The sequence below is a fragment of the Homo sapiens genome, chromosome 1 (genome assembly GCF_000001405.40).
Source record: "Homo sapiens chromosome 1, GRCh38.p14 Primary Assembly".
NCBI lineage: Eukaryota > Metazoa > Chordata > Mammalia > Primates > Hominidae > Homo > Homo sapiens.
The window spans coordinates 220,512,875-220,532,821 of NC_000001.11; the positions used below are offsets into that span (position 1 = coordinate 220,512,875).

Consider the following 19,947-nt stretch of genomic DNA (forward strand, 5'->3'; position numbering starts at 1 on the left):
ACATCAATCGCTTTCAACCATGTTTGGCCCAACCCAGGTAAAAAATTCATTTTACATCAAGATGCAGTATACACACATGACAAAAGTGTCATAAGATAGTACTTACCAGCTGGGCATGGTGGCTCATGCCTGTAATGCCAGCACTTTGGGAGGCCGAGGTAGGCAGATCACCTGAGGTCAGAAGTTTGACACCAGCCTGGCCAACATGGCAAAACCCCGTCTCTACTAAAAATACAAAAATTAGCCAGGCTTGGTGGCATGGACCTGTAATCCCAGCTACTCAGGAGGCTGAGGCAGGAGAATCACTGGAACCTGGGAGGCAGAGGGTGCAGTGAGCCGAGATCATGCCGCTGCACTCCAGCCTGGGTGACAGAGCAAGACTCCATTTCAAAAAAAAAAAAGATAGTACTTACCCTTATTATACACAAGACACTAATGATTATTTTACTCTATTCTAATTCTCTTGTAAATGCCTACAGTGCTTTATAGTACAGATCACAAAGGTAATTTGAAGAACACAGTGGCTAGATGAAGAGGAAATATTAAATAAGGCTTGAGTTTGGCACTATAAAGAATCTAAGTCAAAAACACAGAAAGAAAGCTACTCTTCCATTTAGGATTGTTTAAATGAGAAGTCTTAAACTTTTTTTAAAAAACAGAGCTCTTTAAAAAATCTGACTAAAACTAGGGCCCCATTTTACAGACAACTTCACATATACTCGTGATTTCTTATATCTTTCAGGGGGTCTCTAGATCTCCCTTTTTTTGGGGTGGGGTGGGGATGGAGTCTTGCTTTGTTGCCCAGGCTGTAGTGCAGCGGCGCTATCTCAGCTTACTGCAAAACCTCCACCTCCTGGGTTCAAGTGATTCTCCTGTCTCAGCCCCCTGAGTAGCTGGGATTATAGTCAGGTGCCACCACGCCCGGCTAATTTGTGAATTTTTAGTAGATGGGGTTTCACCATGTTGGCCAGGCTGGTCTTGAACTCCTGACCTCAGATGATCCACCCGCCTCGGCCTCCCAAAGTCTTGGGATTACAGGCATGAACCACCATGCCTGGCCTAGATCTCCTTCTTTTTCAGACTCTAGACAAATGATCCTTAATTTAATTATAGCTCTATACAGAGGCAGAAGTCCAAAGTGGATGACCTCATTGCATCCTCATTACATCATGGCGGGGGAGGGCTTGAAGTTTCAGGAGGTTATTTTCTTTTAGCTTTAAAGTCATAAGGACTGATGCCCTTTGGCCATTCTTCTTTATTTTCTATTTATCTGATATCACGGGAATGCAGTTATTAGAGAAAAATGTTGCCAAAGGATAAGGATGGCTGCTTGGAAGCATTTTTGGAGGCAGCTAATGTCATTTGGTGGCAGAGACCACCAAAACAAAGGCTAGGAAGGAGGACAAATGCACTTCTAGAGTTCCCAACTCTCTTGGGCTCCCCTGTCTCTGGACCAGGGATTGGGGCATGGAGGACCTGGCATTCCATGGCAAATCTCAGGAATCTCCCCTACTTAGCCTAGGAGTGGTGTGCAACTGTGGAGTTGTTTGGACAAGCCTAGACTATTTAGCTTTCTTTACCAGAAGACTATGCCCATTCCCAGTGATTAAGTAACTACTCAGATCATTTCCGGACTTGAGATGAAGACACAAAGCTGAGAAGATGCTCTGGATGCTCAAAGATAAGACGACATTTCTAAATTGCTAGCATTAACCATGCTCTGGTCTTGCATACCCCTCTATGCATAGTCAATGAACTATGAGATCAGTATTAAGAACATTTTGGGGTAAAGTACAGGAGGAAATGATGGAAAGAGAGTTCAGGGAGAGTACATTTGAGCAGAGCTACTCAAAGTATGGTCAGTCCACACGCTGGTGCCAAACTCGGAATTGTTCATTTTTGTTCAATGATGAGCTGAGTACCCATTGAGTGTTTAGAAATGTATAGAATTTTGAGAGTCCCTGGCACATTCGCCAACCTCCTCCCTCCCTTCCTTCCTTTCACCTCCTGGGAAAAAAAAAGGAAAAAGAGAAAAAGAACTGTATAGAACTTGACAGAGTAATTTTAGGTCTGTTGAATCTAGTAATAAATTTAAGCTTTTATTGTGTATGTCTACATTTTTAAATGGTTTTTAAATGAATTCATTCTTATTGTACTTTACAAAGGTATAATTATTTGACAGGTTTGAAATTTGGGAGGAAAACACCTGGCCCCTCAGCATAGATAATGTTAAAAGCAGTATTCTAAAGCAACATACATATATTCAGAAGCCTAGGAAAGGCATTCAAAGATCAGAACTATGAACCTTTCCCTCAGAATTGGGCCACATATAAATTAATGTAATTTTAAGTGGCATTTTTGTCACCATCTAAGAGGTCTGTCAGGAATGATCAATTCTCTATTCTGGCGACTTTTCTTATTACATCACGTAGATATTGTGGTTTTATCAGAAATAGGAGAAAGTGAGTACTTTCAAACCTATATTTATAGTTCGCTGGGCCTTTGAACATATTTTATAAGCATTTACTATGAGGTGAGAATGGCTATCTCCATTTTAATGAAGAAACTGAGGCACAGGGAATTGCCATAATTGACTTGCGTTGAAACCAGGAAGCAGGCCCAGAGTTCCTGTTGTTCCATCATCTGGTATGGCTTAACATCCAGACCCCGCTTCCTCCCCAGAGGAGATTATGGAGGGTTGGGGTTGTGTTCATTTATTGTTTAAAGCTCTTAGTATCACGAATAAATGGTCTATAAAAATAACAAGCAGCAAAGCAAAGCAAATATATTTCTTTAGCAATGCATTAAAGTATCTTACAAAAACAAGTTTCCACATGCTGAACTGCAAAATATTCTTTGACTACAAATAGTTGTGGTCTTTTCTTGGGAAAGAATCTCAGAAAATGCACAATAATACATTTCAACTAAAAATAAAGATTGTATTCCCCTCTTAAGGAAATAGAAAGTTTGCGTGTGTGTATGTGTTTAATACTAGTATTTATAGACCTAAGGGAGTGAGTGCTGCTAGAACTCAGAGGAGCCCAAAGATGAGAATTGAATGGTCCCACAGGGAGAAAACTGCGAAGGAATTGAAAAAAGCAAGCAATGGTTCCCAGCATTATTTTAAAGCCATCTCAGTAGATGCTGATGGTTCTACAGCAAGTAGCAAAATTCTATTCAGAGAAAGACAACGTTCACCTATGAGCACACATAGCTGAGTTCTTAAATATTTTTTCACATGAATGATTCTTCAGGACTGTGGAAAACTTTGTTTCAGTCAAACAAAGCTACTTGTCATCGCCCATCCACAGCATGCTCATTCTTGTTTCCAGGCCTTTACCCATTACATTCTTCTTGGAGAATGCCTGATTCACTTTACTTATATTTGTCCTTTTTGTCTTTTAAAACACAGCTTAAAGCTCTGCTCCTCCAGGAAGTCTTTTCTAATTAACTCATGTAACTGACTCAGTCATTCTTTTGTGGCCCTAATCTATACATTTTATACTATATTTCTATGCAGGCATTTTGCTTTATAGGTGCTTTTGGCTCTGTGTAGGGTGTGTGTGTGTATGTGTGTTCAGGTCTTGGTGGTAAAGTGGCAAGATGTGGTGGGTAGGCATCTGATCTACTTAGATTGTGAGACCCTCGAAAGCAGGGACAATTCCCTCAGGCTGTGGTGGAGTCAGACATATTTCATAAGTGTGTGTGACTTTAGGCAACTCCCATAGGATTGCTGTGAGGATTAAACAGCATGACAAACGTGACCTGCAGGGCACCCGGTAGATGTTCAATAACAGAAGCGCTCTATCTTTTTGTGATTCTAGTACAAGGCTCAGTATGGGAGCTCTTCACTCCAGATTGCTAGTTTTCGTGGCTATTGCTGTTGTGGTTGCTTAATAAAAATAGCCTACGTTTATTCTTCTGGGAGAGTTAGATGGCCATTGAAACTAATGCTAGCATTTAGGAAACACCTTGTCTTTCACTAACTACTTAACCTCCTTGGGCAGGTTGTTACAGGCACACCTCATTTTATTGCACTTCACTCTATTGCACTCCACAGATATTGCATTTTTTTACAAATTGAAGGTTTGTGGCAACCCTGCACCAGGCAAGTCTATCAGCACCATTTTTCCAACAGCACATGCTCACTTCATGTCTCTGTGTCACATTTGGGTAACTCTCACAATATTTCAAACTTGTTTCTTGTGGTATCTGCGATGGTGATCTATGATCAGTGATCTTTGATGTTACTATTGTAATTCTTTTGGGGAGCTACAAACTGTGCCCACATAAGTCGGCAAACTTAATCTATAAATGTTGTGTGTGTTTTGACTTCTCTACCTACTGGCCATCTCCTCATGTCTTTTCCTCTCCTCGATCCCGCCTATTCCCTGAGACATAACAATATTGAAATTAGGCCAATTAATAACCCCACAATGACCTGTAAGTGTTCAAGTGAAAGGAAGAGTCACTTGTCTCCCACTTTAAATCAGAAGCTAGAAATGATTAAGCTTAGGAAGGCATGTCGAAAGACCAGGCAGGCCAAAAGCGAGGCTTCTTGCACCAAACAGTTAGCTAGTTGTAAATGCAATGGAAAAGTTCTTGAAGGAAATTAAAAGTACTACTCTAGTGAACACATGAATGATAAATGAAACAGCATTATTGCTGATATGGAGAAAGTTTTAGTGACTCAATAGAAGATCAAACCAGCCACAACATTCTCTTAAGCCAAAACCTAATTCAGAGCAAGGCAGTAACTTTCTTTAATTCTACGAAGCCTGAGAAGTGTGAAGAAGCTGCAGAAGAAAAGTTGAAGCTAGCAGAGGTGGGTTCATGAAGTTTAAGAAAAGAAGCTGTCTCCATAACGTGAAAGTGCAAGGTGAAGCAGCAAGTGCTGATGTAGAAGCTGCAGCAAGTTATCCAGAAGGTCTAGCTAGGATCACTGATAAAGTGGCTACATGAAACAACAGATTTTCAATGCGGAAAATATAGCCTTCTATGGGAGGAAGATGTCATCCAGGGCTTTTACAGCTAGAGAGAAGAAGGCAATGCCTGGCTTTACAACTTCAAAGGATTGGATGACTCTCTTGTTAAGGGCTCATGCAGGTGGTGACTTTACATTGAAGCCAATACCAGTTAGGGCCCTTAACAGTTATGCTAAATCTACTCTGCCTGTGTTCTATAAATGGAACAACGAGGCCTGGATGACAGCATATCAGTTTGTAGCATGATTTATAGACTATTTTAAGCCCACTGTTGAGACCTACTCCTCAGAAAAGAGGATTCCTTTCAAAATATTACTGCTCACTGAGAAGGTACCTTGTCACCCAAGAATTCTTCTGGAGATGTACAAGTAGATTAATGTTTTTTTTCATGCCTGCTCATACAACATCCATTCTGCAGCCCATGATCAAGGAGTAATTTTGGCCTTCAAGCCTAGAGGTATATTAATATTTTGTAAGGCTATAGCTACCATAGATTGTGATTGTTCTGATGAATCTAAGCAAATTGAAGAGCTCTGGAAAGAATGTATCCTTCTAGATTCCATTAAGAATATTCATGATTCATAGGAGCAGGTCAAAATATCATTAAGGGGAGTTTGGAAGAAGCTGGTTGTAGTTCTCATGGATGAATTTAGGGGTTCAAGACTTCAGTGGAGAAAGTAACTGCAGATGTGGGGTAAATAACAAGAAAACTAGAATTAGAAGTGGAGCCTGAAGATATGACTGAATTACTACAACCTCATCATAAAAGCTGAAGGCATAAGGAGATGCTTCTTATGGATAAGCAAAGAAAGTGGTTTCTTAGATGAAATCTACCCCTGGTGAAGATGCTATGAATGTTGCTGAACTGACAACAGTGGATTTAGAATATTACATACACACAGTTGATAAAGCAGCAGCAGGATTTGAGAGGATTGACTCCAATTTTTAAAGTCCTACTGTGGGTAAAATGCTATCAAACAGGATCATCTGTTAAAGAGAAGTCTTTTGTGGAAGGAAGAGTCAACGAATGTGGCAAAGTTCGTTGTTATCTTATTTTAAGAAATTGCCACAGCCACCCCAGTCTTCAGCAACCACTACCATGATCAGTCAGCGCCATCAACATGGAGGCAAAACCCTCCACCAGCAAAAAGAGTACAACTTGCTGAAGGCTCCAATTACAACTTGCTGAAGAATCTGGTGGTTTTTTTTTTTTAGCAACAAAGTATTTTTAAGTTAAGTACCTTATTTGTTTATTCATAATGTTATTGAACACTTAATAGATAAGTATAGTGTAAAGATAACTTTAATATATACCGGGAGACCAAAAAGTTTGTGTAACTTGCTGTATTGTGATACTTGCTTTATTGCAGTGGTCTGGAACTGAATCTGCAATATCTCTGAAGTATGTCTGTAGTCCACAAGCTCTCTCCCAACCATCAACATGGCAAAATTTCTCTCCACTTCGGCATATAGGTGCCTTTCCCTCTTACCAGTCCCTCCAATACATACTCTCTAGGCTGTACGTTACATAGTTTTACTATTTCTTTCCTATTTCTAGTTTGCTGTTTGTCTTAATTCTAATCTGATTTCATCCATATAAAAACATCAGGCAAGCTACACAATGCAGTTTGTCCTGAATCCTGCCTTTATGGCCAGACCTGATTTTATTTGACATTTATAGCAGAATAAGTTCACAACATTTATTCATATATTTTTATGTCCTTAACACTCCCCTCCATGTCTCTGTTGCACTAATGTTCTCATACTCAGAAGACTACAGTGGTTTTTAAAAGTAAAAACGAAAAGAAAAGGGAGATATGGATGTGGGAGTCAGCAATCATTATGCAGGTGCCTGTGACCCAGAAATGAATGAAAAGAGGCCTGGGTTCAGGGCTGGAGGGCCTGGATTTCCAGATCCATTTGTCATGGAATATATGCTACAAGACAAACCTTTTTACCTTTTGTGCCTTGGTTTCTTCTTTGGGGAATGGACTAAGAACACTTGTTGGTTTATAAGAATTTTAGGCTGAATTACTGGAGATGATGTAAACAGAAGACTTTAGAAAACCCACATAAACTTTAGCTCTTAATAAAGACGATGATGATATACATTGATGTTTCTGTATGAAGCCTTTTCTTTATCTTCCTTTGCCGCTAGTGCCCTTTGGACAGTTACCAATTAACACTGTATTTTGTTCTTTAACTTTTCATGTTACTCTATTAAGACTGCATGTTCCTCAACTGCATGCACCATATGACCACCTGTAGAAATGATTGTAAAATAATTAGTACATATCCTAAAATAGTTACTTTTCAAGATTTTATACTTGAAAAGAGGCTGTCATCATTCATTGTTTTAAATGCTCCTTTGAGGAATGATCCAGTTTGATGAACATAAGAAAATACTGTTGTTTTTACTATTACATTTCTGTTGTTTGATCAAATGTGGGATTATCCAATTTAATTATCCATGCAGTTCATCAAAGTTGTTTCCAAACAGATACTTCATTAAAAATAAGTCATCAAAAGACAAAGATTTACCACCCCTGAGAATATACAAAACATCAAACTACAGGTTCCAGAGCTCTTGCAAAATAAATTCATAAAGTGTACCATCACATCATTGTATTAAATATATACTTCCTCAGAGTGACTACTTTGAAAGCTCAGCTCAAGTTTTGCATACAACTCTTGTTGTATTTATATAAAAATTTTGGGAGGCTGAGGTGGGCGGATCATGAGCTCAGGAGATCAAGAACATCCTGGCCAACATAGTGAAACCCCGTCTCTACTAAAAATACAAAAATTAGCTGGCTGTGGTGGTGCATGCCTGTAATCCCAGCTACTGGGGAGGCTGAGGCAGGAGAATCGCTTGAACCTGGGAGGCAGAGACTGCAGTGAGCACAGATCGCACCACTGCACTCCAGCTTGGAGACAGAGCGAGACTCCATCTCAAAATATATATATATATATATATATTAATTGCAACATGTTAGCATCATACCTCATACCTAGCACCTCTTAGAATAGAACAGAACTCATAGTACATGCTCAACAGTATGCAATTGATTGTGGCTTATTGTTAAGAGTTTGATATGACAGAAGTAGATAACAAAAGAATGGTTAAAAATATTACAAATGAAATATACTTTTTCATATGTAAACAAACCTGGATTCTAGCCATGGTAATCTTCTGAGATGCATATTCCATGATTGTAATGTTTTTAAAAGGACACATTTATAACTTTAGAAATTTAGATGTTTGTCTTAGTGCTAGAAAAGGAAGATATTAGTAAATAGTGGAAAAAGTTAATATGGGAGTCTTGGCAATTGAGTTCTTAAGCAATGGATGGCAAGTGCCCAATGGGTGACTATAGAGGGTCAATTTGGAAAGATTAAGGACACTTAACCTGGGTTCTTCGCTTATGAGTGGTAATATACTAAAATCATCTGAAAGAAATCCAGGATCTGAAAACATATGCTCAAATTCAGACACATGATTAAATCTACTATCCATTCATCTGCTTAATTGAGCAACTCCCATATGCTAGGCACTGTGCTAGGCATTAGAGACACGGTATTGGACTGAACATTCACAATTGCTTTATTTTAGTCATTATTATAAGAGCTATTAAAGAAAAGTAGAATATATTACTAAAGTAATAGGGAGCTTGGTTTTTATGAAATGGACAGGAAAGAGTATTCCAAAACTGTTTATTTATCTGAAAAAAAAGTACTGCTAAAACAGTTATAATAAAGCTGTTTCTACTATTACAGAGTTATAAAGTTTACACATCAACTTTGATGGGCTGCACTGATAATTAAATTGGATAATCTCACATTTGATTAAATGGTTTCAGTCTGCTGAAAGGCTTTTGCTTAGGTTATAATGTAGACTCCTATTTACTATATGATTTTTTGCTGAACTACAAAAATATTATTTAGCACTAACAGAAATAGAAAACTATCAGTTATTGAAGATAAAGCAGTTCATAATGTTGAAATGTAGTAAGTGTACTGGTGTCAATATAATAAAGCTGGTGTAATATTACGAAATGTAGATCAAATATAAGTCACCTGCTCAGGAAGGCATCTTTATTATGGTTTTCAAGTACCTAAGCTAGTTGTGGAACCAGTTGAAGCTGTTTATACAAAAGCTTATTGGAGAAATGCCAAAATATTAAGGCAGAAAGCAAATTATAATTGGATTGGAGAATAGATCTAGCTGCTGTAATTCATTAATTTTTTTAGAAAAGTTAAACCTGGGTGCTTGTGTTTGTTAAAAGAGTAATATAATCAAGACATAACAAAATATTATTTGTATAATGGGAGTCTCTGGTTTTGAACTGTCTAGACACTGAAAGTACCTATAAAAATGTGAACTTCATGTGGGTGGGGATTTTTGTCTATTTCGTCTACTGCTGTTTCTGAAGAGCTTAGAATAGTCCCTTACATTAACAGAGCTATATATTTTTAAATTAATGAATGAATGAAAAGCAAAGTGAAAAATGGTGTATTTATGTAGAAAAGGAAGAAATCAACAAAATGTTAAGTGATGTCACATTTAACATAGAAAAAATAATTTGAAGGCATTGAATAAATTGAGTTTATAAAAAGAACCTACAAAAATAACATTTTTATATTAATAAGGTAAGTATAAAGACATGAGGGAACAATTCACTTAGTGTGTCATCTAGGAAATCAAATACTCAAATTGCAAGCCTGTTTAAAAGGGCATTGAACTACATTATGTGTAATTTGTAGTCACAAATGCCAAGTAAAAGACAACCAAGCTCCTACTTTAGGGAGGCTACCATAAGACTTTTAAGAGATTGTTTTGCTTTCTATGTGACTTTACAAAACTACAGTATGGAAGGTACAATAATGTGGGTATATCTATACTGATACATTTATGAACTCATATGCAACCATTGTTCCTTTGAGATCACGCTATGAATGTTGATTTTCACCTGCACTTTTCCAGCATTGCTAAAGACCAGTGCATAACTCACCGCAATAGTAACTTCCATGTGTCTTGTTCTTTGTTTTGCTGTGCCAATTTGCACTGCCAAGTGACACTGTGACGCTCAGTCTGCTGAAAGGCTTTCACTTAGGAAGAGTCACCCAATTTCTGATGACTGTTCCCTGGGGTTGACCGCCAGCTCTATTGCCTCTAGCACTTCATTGTCGTGTCATTCCATTTTTAATTTTTCAACCTACTTTTGAAGTGTTTCCTCCTGACCAAGTACAGTACACCTTGGTTTATGCAGATACTCATTTAAAAGACTTATTGAAATATCAATGATCAGCAATTCCTATGTATGGATAAAAATGAATAATTACAGTAAAATCACAGAGCAGTAAAATTAGTGGCACTATGGTAATCTGTAGGAGACAGAATAGAGTCACTTTGCTACCCAGTCAATAACATTTACTGGGAAGATACTTTGCATACTATGTAAACTCTTATATCCCCCAGTTGTAGACTTTAATTATCCTCCTATATTTTCAATTCTCCTATATTTTCAATGATGCTTCTTAGAAATTTAAAAGAATGTGAAAGTTCAGGAGAACATACAAGTCAATAAAAGTCATTTAGGAAATTGGGCATCTACTAATTGCTAAGCACTGTGCTAGGTTCTAGGCAAAAATAAATAAGACATATTCCCTTCCTTTTCCTAGTGCACAGGTGGATAGGGGACCAGCCAGGTACACAGTGCAAGGAGAGCAACAGTAGAGGTATGTCCAAGGTACAGAGGTAGTGCACAGGGAGTGATTAATTAACTGTGGGTGTGGGGAGAAACAGTGGTGTCAGGATAGGTTTCTAAAGGAAGGTTTTTAAAGACCAACTCTGAGGCCATCAGGCAGAAAAGAGGAGAGGACATTCCAGGAAGACAGAACAGATGACACAAATGCACGGAGGAGTCAAGCAATATGGTGTGTTCGGGGAATTCCAAGAAAACGAACATCGCTGAACCTACAGTGCTTGTGGGAAACAGAAGAGTAAACAACTCTTGGAGGTTATGTTTGTGAGGTGTGGAGTGGCATAACCAAAAAAAGCATTGAGCTGACCCTTGCTGGGTCTGACAGTTTATGTATATGCTGATGGCTATGAAGACAAGTATAAGTTAAATTATCACAAGGACTTTTCAGTCCTTCTATGACAATATATACAATGTAAAAGGCAACAGCTTTAAGCAGTTTTAAAAATACGATATATCGTTTCTTTTGAGGATCTTGTCCATTTCAGTGATTCTATATTTTAAGTAGTGAATGTTGACACAATAAAAATTCACCTTGCCAGACAGGCAGGCAATCAGGACCCAGTTTATTTGTGACAAGGACTGATTATTCTTTCCTGATGGACATTAACCTTGTTTCTCTTTAGCTGAGACTGCTCTTTGTTACCTTACCGAACTGTCTATCCTGTAGTTTTCCTGTGTGGCTAAATGAAAGATTGTAAATAGCCTTGTAGTACCTAAAACAAAGTATGCAAATAATTATTGACTGGCCAAGTCTATCAGACATTGGATACATCTAAAGCACATGATATAAAGACATGTGCAGTTTTAAGAGTTTACTATTAATCTGCTGAATCTGTCACATTTGATAAATTCTTTGTTTACAAATGACTGCAATCTGTTAATGCTCATTTGTATGAATTCAACATGTTTTCCACTTTGCTCTTTAAAAAGAATGCGTAAGACTGACTGCCGCTAACTATTAGGTGAAGAATATTCCCCTAGAACAGCACAGCATGGCATGTGGTAGAATGGTGCCCAACAAGCATTTATTGGGTGCCACTCTACCACAGAATGAATTATTAATAGCTTATAATCAAGGCCTTTGATTCTTAAGCAACTAAGCCTTTTTATTCTCAGCTTTGACCATATGGAGAAGTACTGTCCAACAGAGAGATAATGTAATGTAAACCACATATGTAAGTTTATATTTTTTAGGATCTGCATTTGAAAAAGTAAAAAAGAAACAGTTGAAAATGATTTAATAATATATTTTATTTAACCTAATATATTAAAATATTGGCATTTCAATATGAAATGGTTATAATATTTATAAAGAGACATCTTACTCTCTTTTTTTTCCTACTATTTGAAAATGTGGTGTGCATTTTATATTTATAGCACATCCCAATTCAGGTAATACATTTCCATGAGAAATACTTAATCGGTATATAGATTTCAGAAAATTTACAGTTGAAAAAGTAGATTCATATACTTAACATACTTTCAAACATAACACAATTTTTTCAGTCACTGAATCAAATCGGTTTTTAAGTGTAAATTATTTGAAATTGAGTCAAATTAAAAATTCAAGCAACATGTCAAGAGCTCAGTAGTCACATGTAACTGGTACTGGACCCGGTAGTTCTAAAAAATTCTACTCCATAGGGCTGACGGTAGGCAATGCTCTTTTCCCACTTTTCACTGTAGGTTTAGCACCTTTTAGATCTTTATTTCCCTTTTGTTTTGTCAGTACTTCAATTTTCTTCCAAAACTTTCATTACCCTAACACATTAAGTTAGGAACCTGTGAATTGAACATGCCACATTTGGTTAATAACCCAAAAAAAAATTACTCAAAGCCTTAAAATATTCCCTTTGTCATTTCTCCATAGTCACAGACACAGAAGCTATATATAGTAACACAAAAAAATTTTGCTCATGAGCATTTTCATTTCTAAGGACTAGGGTTAAACAGTATTGACTCCATCACAATAATGCCTCATGTCATTTTTTTTTCCTCTCCCATGTTTAAGGATCTACTAATGCCATTTTAAGGGGAGAAGAGCTCATATAGGGACAGACAGTATTTCCTTTTGAAAAACATAGTGACTTTTTTTTTAACCTGGGCAAAGTGCATTTTCACTTAGTTTTCACTACATACCAAGCTTAAAATTGTTAGGTATTAATAAGGATTATTTGAATGGCATTTTCTTTTGGATAGAATTGTTCTATCCAAAAAAACAATTTGGCTAGCTAGAATTATGGATTCGAGCTACCTAGTAATGACTCTCTTTGAATGTAGTTTCACTGTTAGAAGTGTTCTTGGGGATTGACTTAAACAATAAATATCCCTTCCTATTATTATGTGATATTCCGTAAATTTCAATATGTGAAATAGTGAGCATTGTGTAGCAAATATAGCTAAGGGATTTGTCCATGGCTTTTAACAGACACTTTAAAATCTGTGGAAGCCACTGTGCCAGAATCTGGGGCTCTCCTTTAAGCTCTGTCTCGAATTAGCCATTATATCTTATGGGGTGAACCTATGGTTTTTGTGACTGGTGCAAGATTGAACAGCACCACATATTTCAGTTATCTTCTTCTGTATCTTATTAACCTGGTGCATCTGTGATCTTGAACAAGTTAACTTAGTGGAATTTTGTAAAATGGAAATAAATATGCCTGTCAGGGTCACCACGATTATAAAGATAGAAAAATATGTGAGTATACTTTAAAGAGCAAAATACATACTACCAGCTGAAGGAATGATTCATATTCCAATGGGGCTGAACGCCTTTTCACAGCTACTTGTTTATTGCTAGGTTAACTCAGGTACTATTGCAACACTAGGTACCCTTGTGTGGCTGCAGCAGTCAGTGATGCCGCTGACACTGTGATGGCAGCCCCTACAGGCAGCCGTCGCAATAGTTAACCAGAAAATAACCAGAAAAATACAGGATTATGCCCTTGCAACTTCAATGTATCTTGGTGATTCAGGATTTTCTGCAGAGGGCACGTAAATGCTTGACATTCTCAGTAACACATCATAGTTCAGGAGGCAGCATTGCAGTTCCGCTGCCTAAATTCTGTTTGAGAAGTGGTGATGACCACCAAAGGGATCTTGTTTTTTTTTTTTTTTTCATTTGCTTTGTGAAATTGGTAAGTGGTTACAAGAGAAAATGCTAAAGAAATAAGTACACAGATGGTGTTCTAGAAGTGAATATAGACTGGGTGAGAATTGCTTCTTTCCTCAAAGGATTTTTGTGTTTGCTATTTTCAGGTCTTTTGGACCCATGCTTCAAGGGTCAAGTGTTAACTTTTCAGAAACAACCTTTAATGAGTCAGGATAAAAACCATCTGGTTCAGGGATTCTTCTTTCAAATGGAGGAAATTCAGAAGAGACGAGAAATTTCCCACCATTATAAGAATTCCACTGGAGGCATACTGAAGCAGCTCAGAAAATCAATGTATCCGCTCCTATCTTTCATTCCTTTTGTCTTCCTGCCCATCCATGAAAGGAAGTGAAAAAGAAATGTTGCAAAGAAGAATAGAGAGACGATAAGGTTTTCGTTCTACAGGCTGAATGTGCAAAATGTAAGCTCTCAAATGAGATTAAAAAAAAATGCAGCCTTGCTTATAAAAGGCGAATGGGTCCTGGACAATGCACTACAGACGCGGGTGCCTACAGGATGTCTTGAGGCAGGTGGGTGGAAGTGTGAGGAAGCCACCTGGAAGAGGGAGGACAGGGCCCAAATCAGACACAGCTCTCCATCCTCCCTAAACAGGCTCGCCTAAGTGACACTTCCTTGTGTCCCAGGAAGTGACGATCAGCCAGTGTAGATGTTGTGACTCGCGGGTCTCACCCACTCCGAGGGTGCTGCAGGGCGCCCAGAGCGAGACGTCTTCCGCCGGCCCCATTCCCGAAGAGGCCGCGCCGTCGGGGGCTGAGACCCACTTGTACTGAGTCTCCAGCCGCCTCCCTAGGCTGCTGGCGCTTCTAGGGGCTTCTGTGCTTTTTGCCAAACTCTGAGGGTGACCCTGAACCTAACGGCTCCCTAGAGAAGGAGACTGACAGAGGGCTCAGGCGAGGATAGGGATTGAGAAAGCGTGGAAACGGGGGAGGAGGAGTAGAATTTAAGAATGGTAAAAGTCCCGAGGTAGGAGAAAAGGAGGGGTAGGATCCAGGGTAGGATTGAATCCAATTCTTCTCCAATGAAACGGACAAACAAACAAACAAACAAACAAAAACAGAAAGAAAGAAAAAGAAAAAAAAAAGCCACTGATTCACATCAGCTCTCTCTCACCCTCAACCCGGCAAAAACCAAACACGAATAAAAATAAAACCACCAGAGGCTCTTAGACGACCGTAAACTCTGCGGGTGGGGCACGAAACAAAAATAAACACAGGGACAGGCGGGCAAGAGAGCGCGGGAGGAGGAGGAGGAGAAAAAGGAGGAGGAGGAGGAGGAGGAGGCGGCCCCGCATCCCTAATGAGGGAATGAATGGAGAGGCCCCCTCGGCTGGCGCCCGCCCACCCGGCGGCGGCCGCCAAGTGCCTCTGGGCGCTGCGTGCCGCGCCCGCTGCTCCGCGCGCAGCCGGCTCGGGCCGCTCCTCCTGACTGAGGCGCGGCGGCGGCGGTGGCTGTGACCGCGCGGACCGAGCCGAGACATTCGCGCCGGGGGATCGGGCGCCGCCGCCGCTGGGCCCCGGGCGCGTGGATGCGGCTGGGTCGGGCGGCGCCGTACACCTGAGGCGGAGAACGGGGCGCGGCGCGGGTGACGCTGTCAGGGCCGCGGTTCCTGACGCCCAGGCGCTCGCCAGGACGAGCCAGGCAGTGATTTGAGGCACCGGCTTCACCTTCACCCATGGTCCGGAGAGCCTAGCGGGGCTCGCCACCGCCTCCCGGCTCCCCTTCCACGCCTCATCCTGCCAGCCTCGCCGCCCCGCCAGCGCCGGGCAACCGCCTCGCCCGAAGCCCTCCCTCGTTACTGTCCGCATACCCCGGCGGCGCCGCCGCGGGAAGCGGCTCCCCCTCCTCTTCCTCCGCGTCCTCTTCCCTCTTTCCCCCGCCGGGGCCGCTTGTTGCACCGCCCCGCGGCCTGCGGGAGCCGCTCGCCCCGGCCTTGTGCTCGCGTCCGCACCCCTTTCCTGTCGCCCCCCGGGGCCCGCACCACAGCCCGGCCGGCGAGACCCCGGCCAGACCCCGCTGCCCGCACAAAATGTCGGCCCGGACGCCATTGCCGACGGTGAACGAGCGGGACACGGAAAATGTGAGTAACCGGAGCCTCCCTCGGGAGCAGTGGGGGCGAGACCCTCCTCTGATCCCCACTTCACCCGCGCTTGGGCCGTCCCCCGTGCCTCGGCGCGGCCACCCGCGGCAGGGTCTCCACCTGGAGCCCGGCGTGACCCTCACCCACTGCTCAGCCCTATTCTTCATTCCAACCCCATTTCGCTTGTTTCCCCTCAAGGGTGAGGGTAGGGAACCGTAAGTGGCGCCCTCTCGCTCGGAGGTGGTCCTCCAGGGGCGGATGGGGTGATGGAGGGCAGAGAAGCAGAATGGGATGGCAGAGTGGGCAGTCAGGATTGCTTTATTTCTACCTCTGCATTCTGTGCCCCCACCCGAATGAATGCTTGCTTTACAATAGCAGACGAGCCGGCTACCTCTCACACTCTTGCTTTTCTGGATCTTTCAATCCTTTGCACTCTCCCCTCCTCCCCCCGCATTGCCCCATGACTTTGCTTTTTGTAACATTGTGTCCACATTTTGGGTCATGGGCACCAAAGCGAGAAGGATGGGAATGGAAGTGGAGATGTGTGCGTGTTTGTGTATGAGTTTATACTGCTGTGACACTCTTAGTAGGGATGAGTAGAAGAATTTCACGAACAGCATCTATGGCCCTGGGGTTACAGCAAAATGTTGAAAAGCCACATGAAGCCAAGGGCTTTTTAATCTCTTCCTTAAGTCAGTGATAATGATGCAGGGCAGGTTTTACTTTAAATATCTCTCCTCCTTGGAGTGTCACAAGGTGCACATCTTTAAAGGAGGGATTTTCTGTGTCTTTGATCAGATTGCCCTCTGGAGCTGTTATCAAGATGCAGATGTGCCGGGCTTTTAAACTCTTGAAAAACGAAAAGAACAAGATCCCTTGTATTTCCACCTTCTGAAAAGTACAGTTGTGTGTGTGTGTGCAAGTTCCTTTGTGGGAAGGTTTTCTTGTTTTTGTTTTTGTTTAAAACACTCAAGACCTGTAAATAGGGCTTGGCTGATTTTCCGACTGATTTTAAGGACCTAGAGGGGTACTAAGTTTTGGTCAGCTGTCCAGAGCTCTCTGTCTAGTTATCTCATCAGCCGTCCAGCTTTTGATATACCACTGACTTCATGGGGTTGGTAAAATAAAATAACGAAGCGCTTTGGTGTTCTTAGACAAAAGGCATGAGAGAAAGGATACAAGCTCACTTCTGAGTTGTTGGAGGGGTATAAACAGATGATTTCATCTTAGGAGGGAAGCACAGAAATTTAATATAACTATACAAAGAGAGAAGAAATTCTACTAAGAGACCATTGTTAGAGGACCTGTGAAGATGTTTCAGAGTATGCTTTTGTCTTCCCTAGCGCCGTGCATTTAAATGGGAAAGATAGTGTAAGGCTGCTGCTATCATAAATTAGAACTTCATTTGCATCATAACTATTTTAGAAAATATAATTGATACATAATTTTGATTGAGAGATTGAACAAGTTCAGAGAAAAAGATGGATATTTTGGTTTGAGTTGGTTTTAAAGCCGAGTTGGCACAGAATTTTTCTAACAGGAACATTAAAAAAATGCCTGTCATTCAAGAGTGTGAATGAAAAGTATGACAGATGATAACCTTTGTTTTTATTAGCAAATTACTGTATGTGTTAACCCAGGAGGAGTGGAAAAATACATTGTTTTTATTTTCTTTTAGATTTTGAATAGTATAGCTTTTCTCATACTTGTATGAATAAGGTACTTCATAAAGACATGAGATATAATTATAGAAATATGCATTAAGGAATAGCACAAAATGCAGCTTCTCATGTAAGAACACACAAAAAAGGATTTTAAAGCTAAGCAATAATAGTATGATAAATTTTGTTGTGAGTACCTTCTGAAAATGATTATGCTGTATAAACTGATTTGCTGTTTCTGAACATGTTATTTCAAAGTCACTTTTATGGTCTTGTGCCTTATTGTGTTGTACATAATGATATCTCCATTTAGCTTACTTTACCCACACCTTATTTTCTCCTAATTGCTGTGGAAAATATCTATTATATGACACCTGTCAATTAATAAGTATGCACTCAGCATGTTCATTTTTTAGGTAAAGGGTTGGGAAGGGGATATAGAAGTAGTGTTTAAGATAAAGTCTCTCCCTGCAAGGAGCTTACAGAAGAGATAATAATCCCAAACAAGTAATGTATGGTAGAAGACATTGTGTAAATAGGGCTAAATTGGTTTATAGGTGTTATAGGTGTTTATCAAAGAGGCCACCACTGATGGCTACGAAATCACCATTGGTGACTCTCTTTATTCTCTAGTTGGTAGTAAATGGCATCATCCATTTTTACTTCTCATCGATGAAATAAAGTAACAAGCCTGCTTGTTAGCTAATATATTAATGCCAGTATGGCAGCCAAAATGTATTTTTGTTTATAGTCATTTTCAATTACATGACATATTTTTAAAAATAGTTACAAAACTTTTATATTCATATGACTATTAAAGGGTTCTAAGTCCTTTGGTATATCAAGGACACTAACTAAAAACATTTTATTTTCCTTAGAAATTAAAATCAACAAATACAGTAATTTAAAACACCATCTTGATATTTCGTTGTCGTTTGCAGTTAATATAAACATTTCTTTGGTCATCCATATAACGTATTTGGATTTTGTGTCCTTGGGAATATATAATATCTACCCTTCTCAGTGTCACTAATATATATTCAGGATAAATAAAAATCCCAAAAGAGGAATATTATAGCACTGATCTCTTATATACTACTGCTATATATAGTAGAATGAGAAAGAATTGCTTTTCTCTAAGAACAGTCTATGTGTACTTTTTCAGGAGTATTTTCTTTGATGAAAGATTTGTGTGTGCCTTGTTAATAGGCCTCAACGGGCTAAATACAACAGGACAACCAATGATTAACTTTTAAGGCAATAAACACTTTGTAGTAAAGTAAAAAAAATGTGTTGCAGATAATAGAATCTATGCAAAATGTGTTTGATTTTAGATTATAAACAGTAAGTCCAGAAAAAGAGTAAAAAAGATTTCTCTTTTTTTCTTTTGTTAGATTTTATTTGGATAATTCCACCATGGATATAGATAATATATTATCATTACTCTTACATGTTTTTTAATGAAACAAGAAAAAAAATTTAGTATTTGGGAAAAACTCCGATTATGCTAATTATTAATGGGTCAAAAATGCTCAGCCTAGCTTTCTGTGATGAAATTTTGATCAGTATGAAGAAAACTCTTTTGACTACTTCTTGGAATGTTTTAAAATTGAATTCAGTTAGACTAAAAAGCCTTTAATAAAAAAAGACTCGATGTTGAGTCTTGTGACATACTGAAATTCATGGCGGTGATTATAATGATTACCTATTGTAACTAAGGTTGCCATCAGTAGTTTGTCTTTTGAGAATCATTGTTAATGGCATGAAGAAGCGAGAGGAAAGCATACCTTTGTCACTATCCTTGGATTTTCTGTGCATCCTTCACATGTCACAGTACCTATCACATAGCATCTAATTGCCTGACTTTGTCTCCCTTAGTCTGTGTTGCCAGTGCCCAGCACAGTGACTAGTACAGTATATAAGAAATCAGTGCTGTAACACCCCCTTTGAATTTTTTCATTTATCATCAAAATATATTGGTGACATTGGTGAGGGTAGACATTACGTATTACAACCTGAGAGGCTGAATGAAGCCTTCAGAGAGAAAATTTAGTGACCTACCCAAGGTTAATAATTCTATCCTTCAAGGTGAATAATGAAAATCTGACACCTTCCACTATTACTGTACTCATGCTGTTACTTCGAGAAAGTGTTTTTTTGTTTTCTTTTGTTTTGTTTGTGTCTTAAAGAGTTTAGAAGAGTGGCTCATGCCTCTAATCCCAGCACTTTGTGGGGCCGGGGTGGGAGGATTGCTTGAATCCAGGAATTCGAGACCAGCATGGGCAAC

At 39.7% G+C, this 19,947-nt stretch overlaps 1 protein-coding gene across 8 annotated transcripts in view, besides 2 other annotated features; it reads left to right on the forward strand.

The window, feature by feature from the left end:
• Positions 3,153-3,447: a silencer, noted in NCBI's record as "tiled region #1437; HepG2 Repressive non-DNase unmatched - State 24:Quies". NCBI's record gives its function as "represses a minimal TATA promoter and a strong SV40 promoter by Sharpr-MPRA in HepG2 cells {active_cell/tissue: HepG2}" and the evidence as "EXISTENCE:reporter gene assay evidence [ECO:0000049][PMID:27701403]".
• Positions 15,262-19,947, forward strand: part of MARK1 (microtubule affinity regulating kinase 1) — a 136,326-nt gene continuing 131,640 nt past the window's right edge. For all 8 annotated transcript variants that reach the window (XM_017001305.3, NM_001286124.2, XM_005273134.6 and 5 more), the window contains exon 1: positions 15,262-15,999. Coding sequence is in view for 7 of the 8 variants with exons in the window: in NM_001286124.2 (NP_001273053.1) it covers positions 15,949-15,999 (51 nt within the window). In the remaining variant the exon portion in view is untranslated. The remainder of the gene's footprint in view (positions 16,000-19,947) is intronic.
• Positions 15,326-15,625: a silencer, noted in NCBI's record as "silent region_1825". NCBI's record gives its function as "represses an Ori minimal core promoter by ATAC-STARR-seq in GM12878 lymphoblastoid cells {active_cell/tissue: GM12878}" and the evidence as "EXISTENCE:reporter gene assay evidence [ECO:0000049][PMID:35858748]".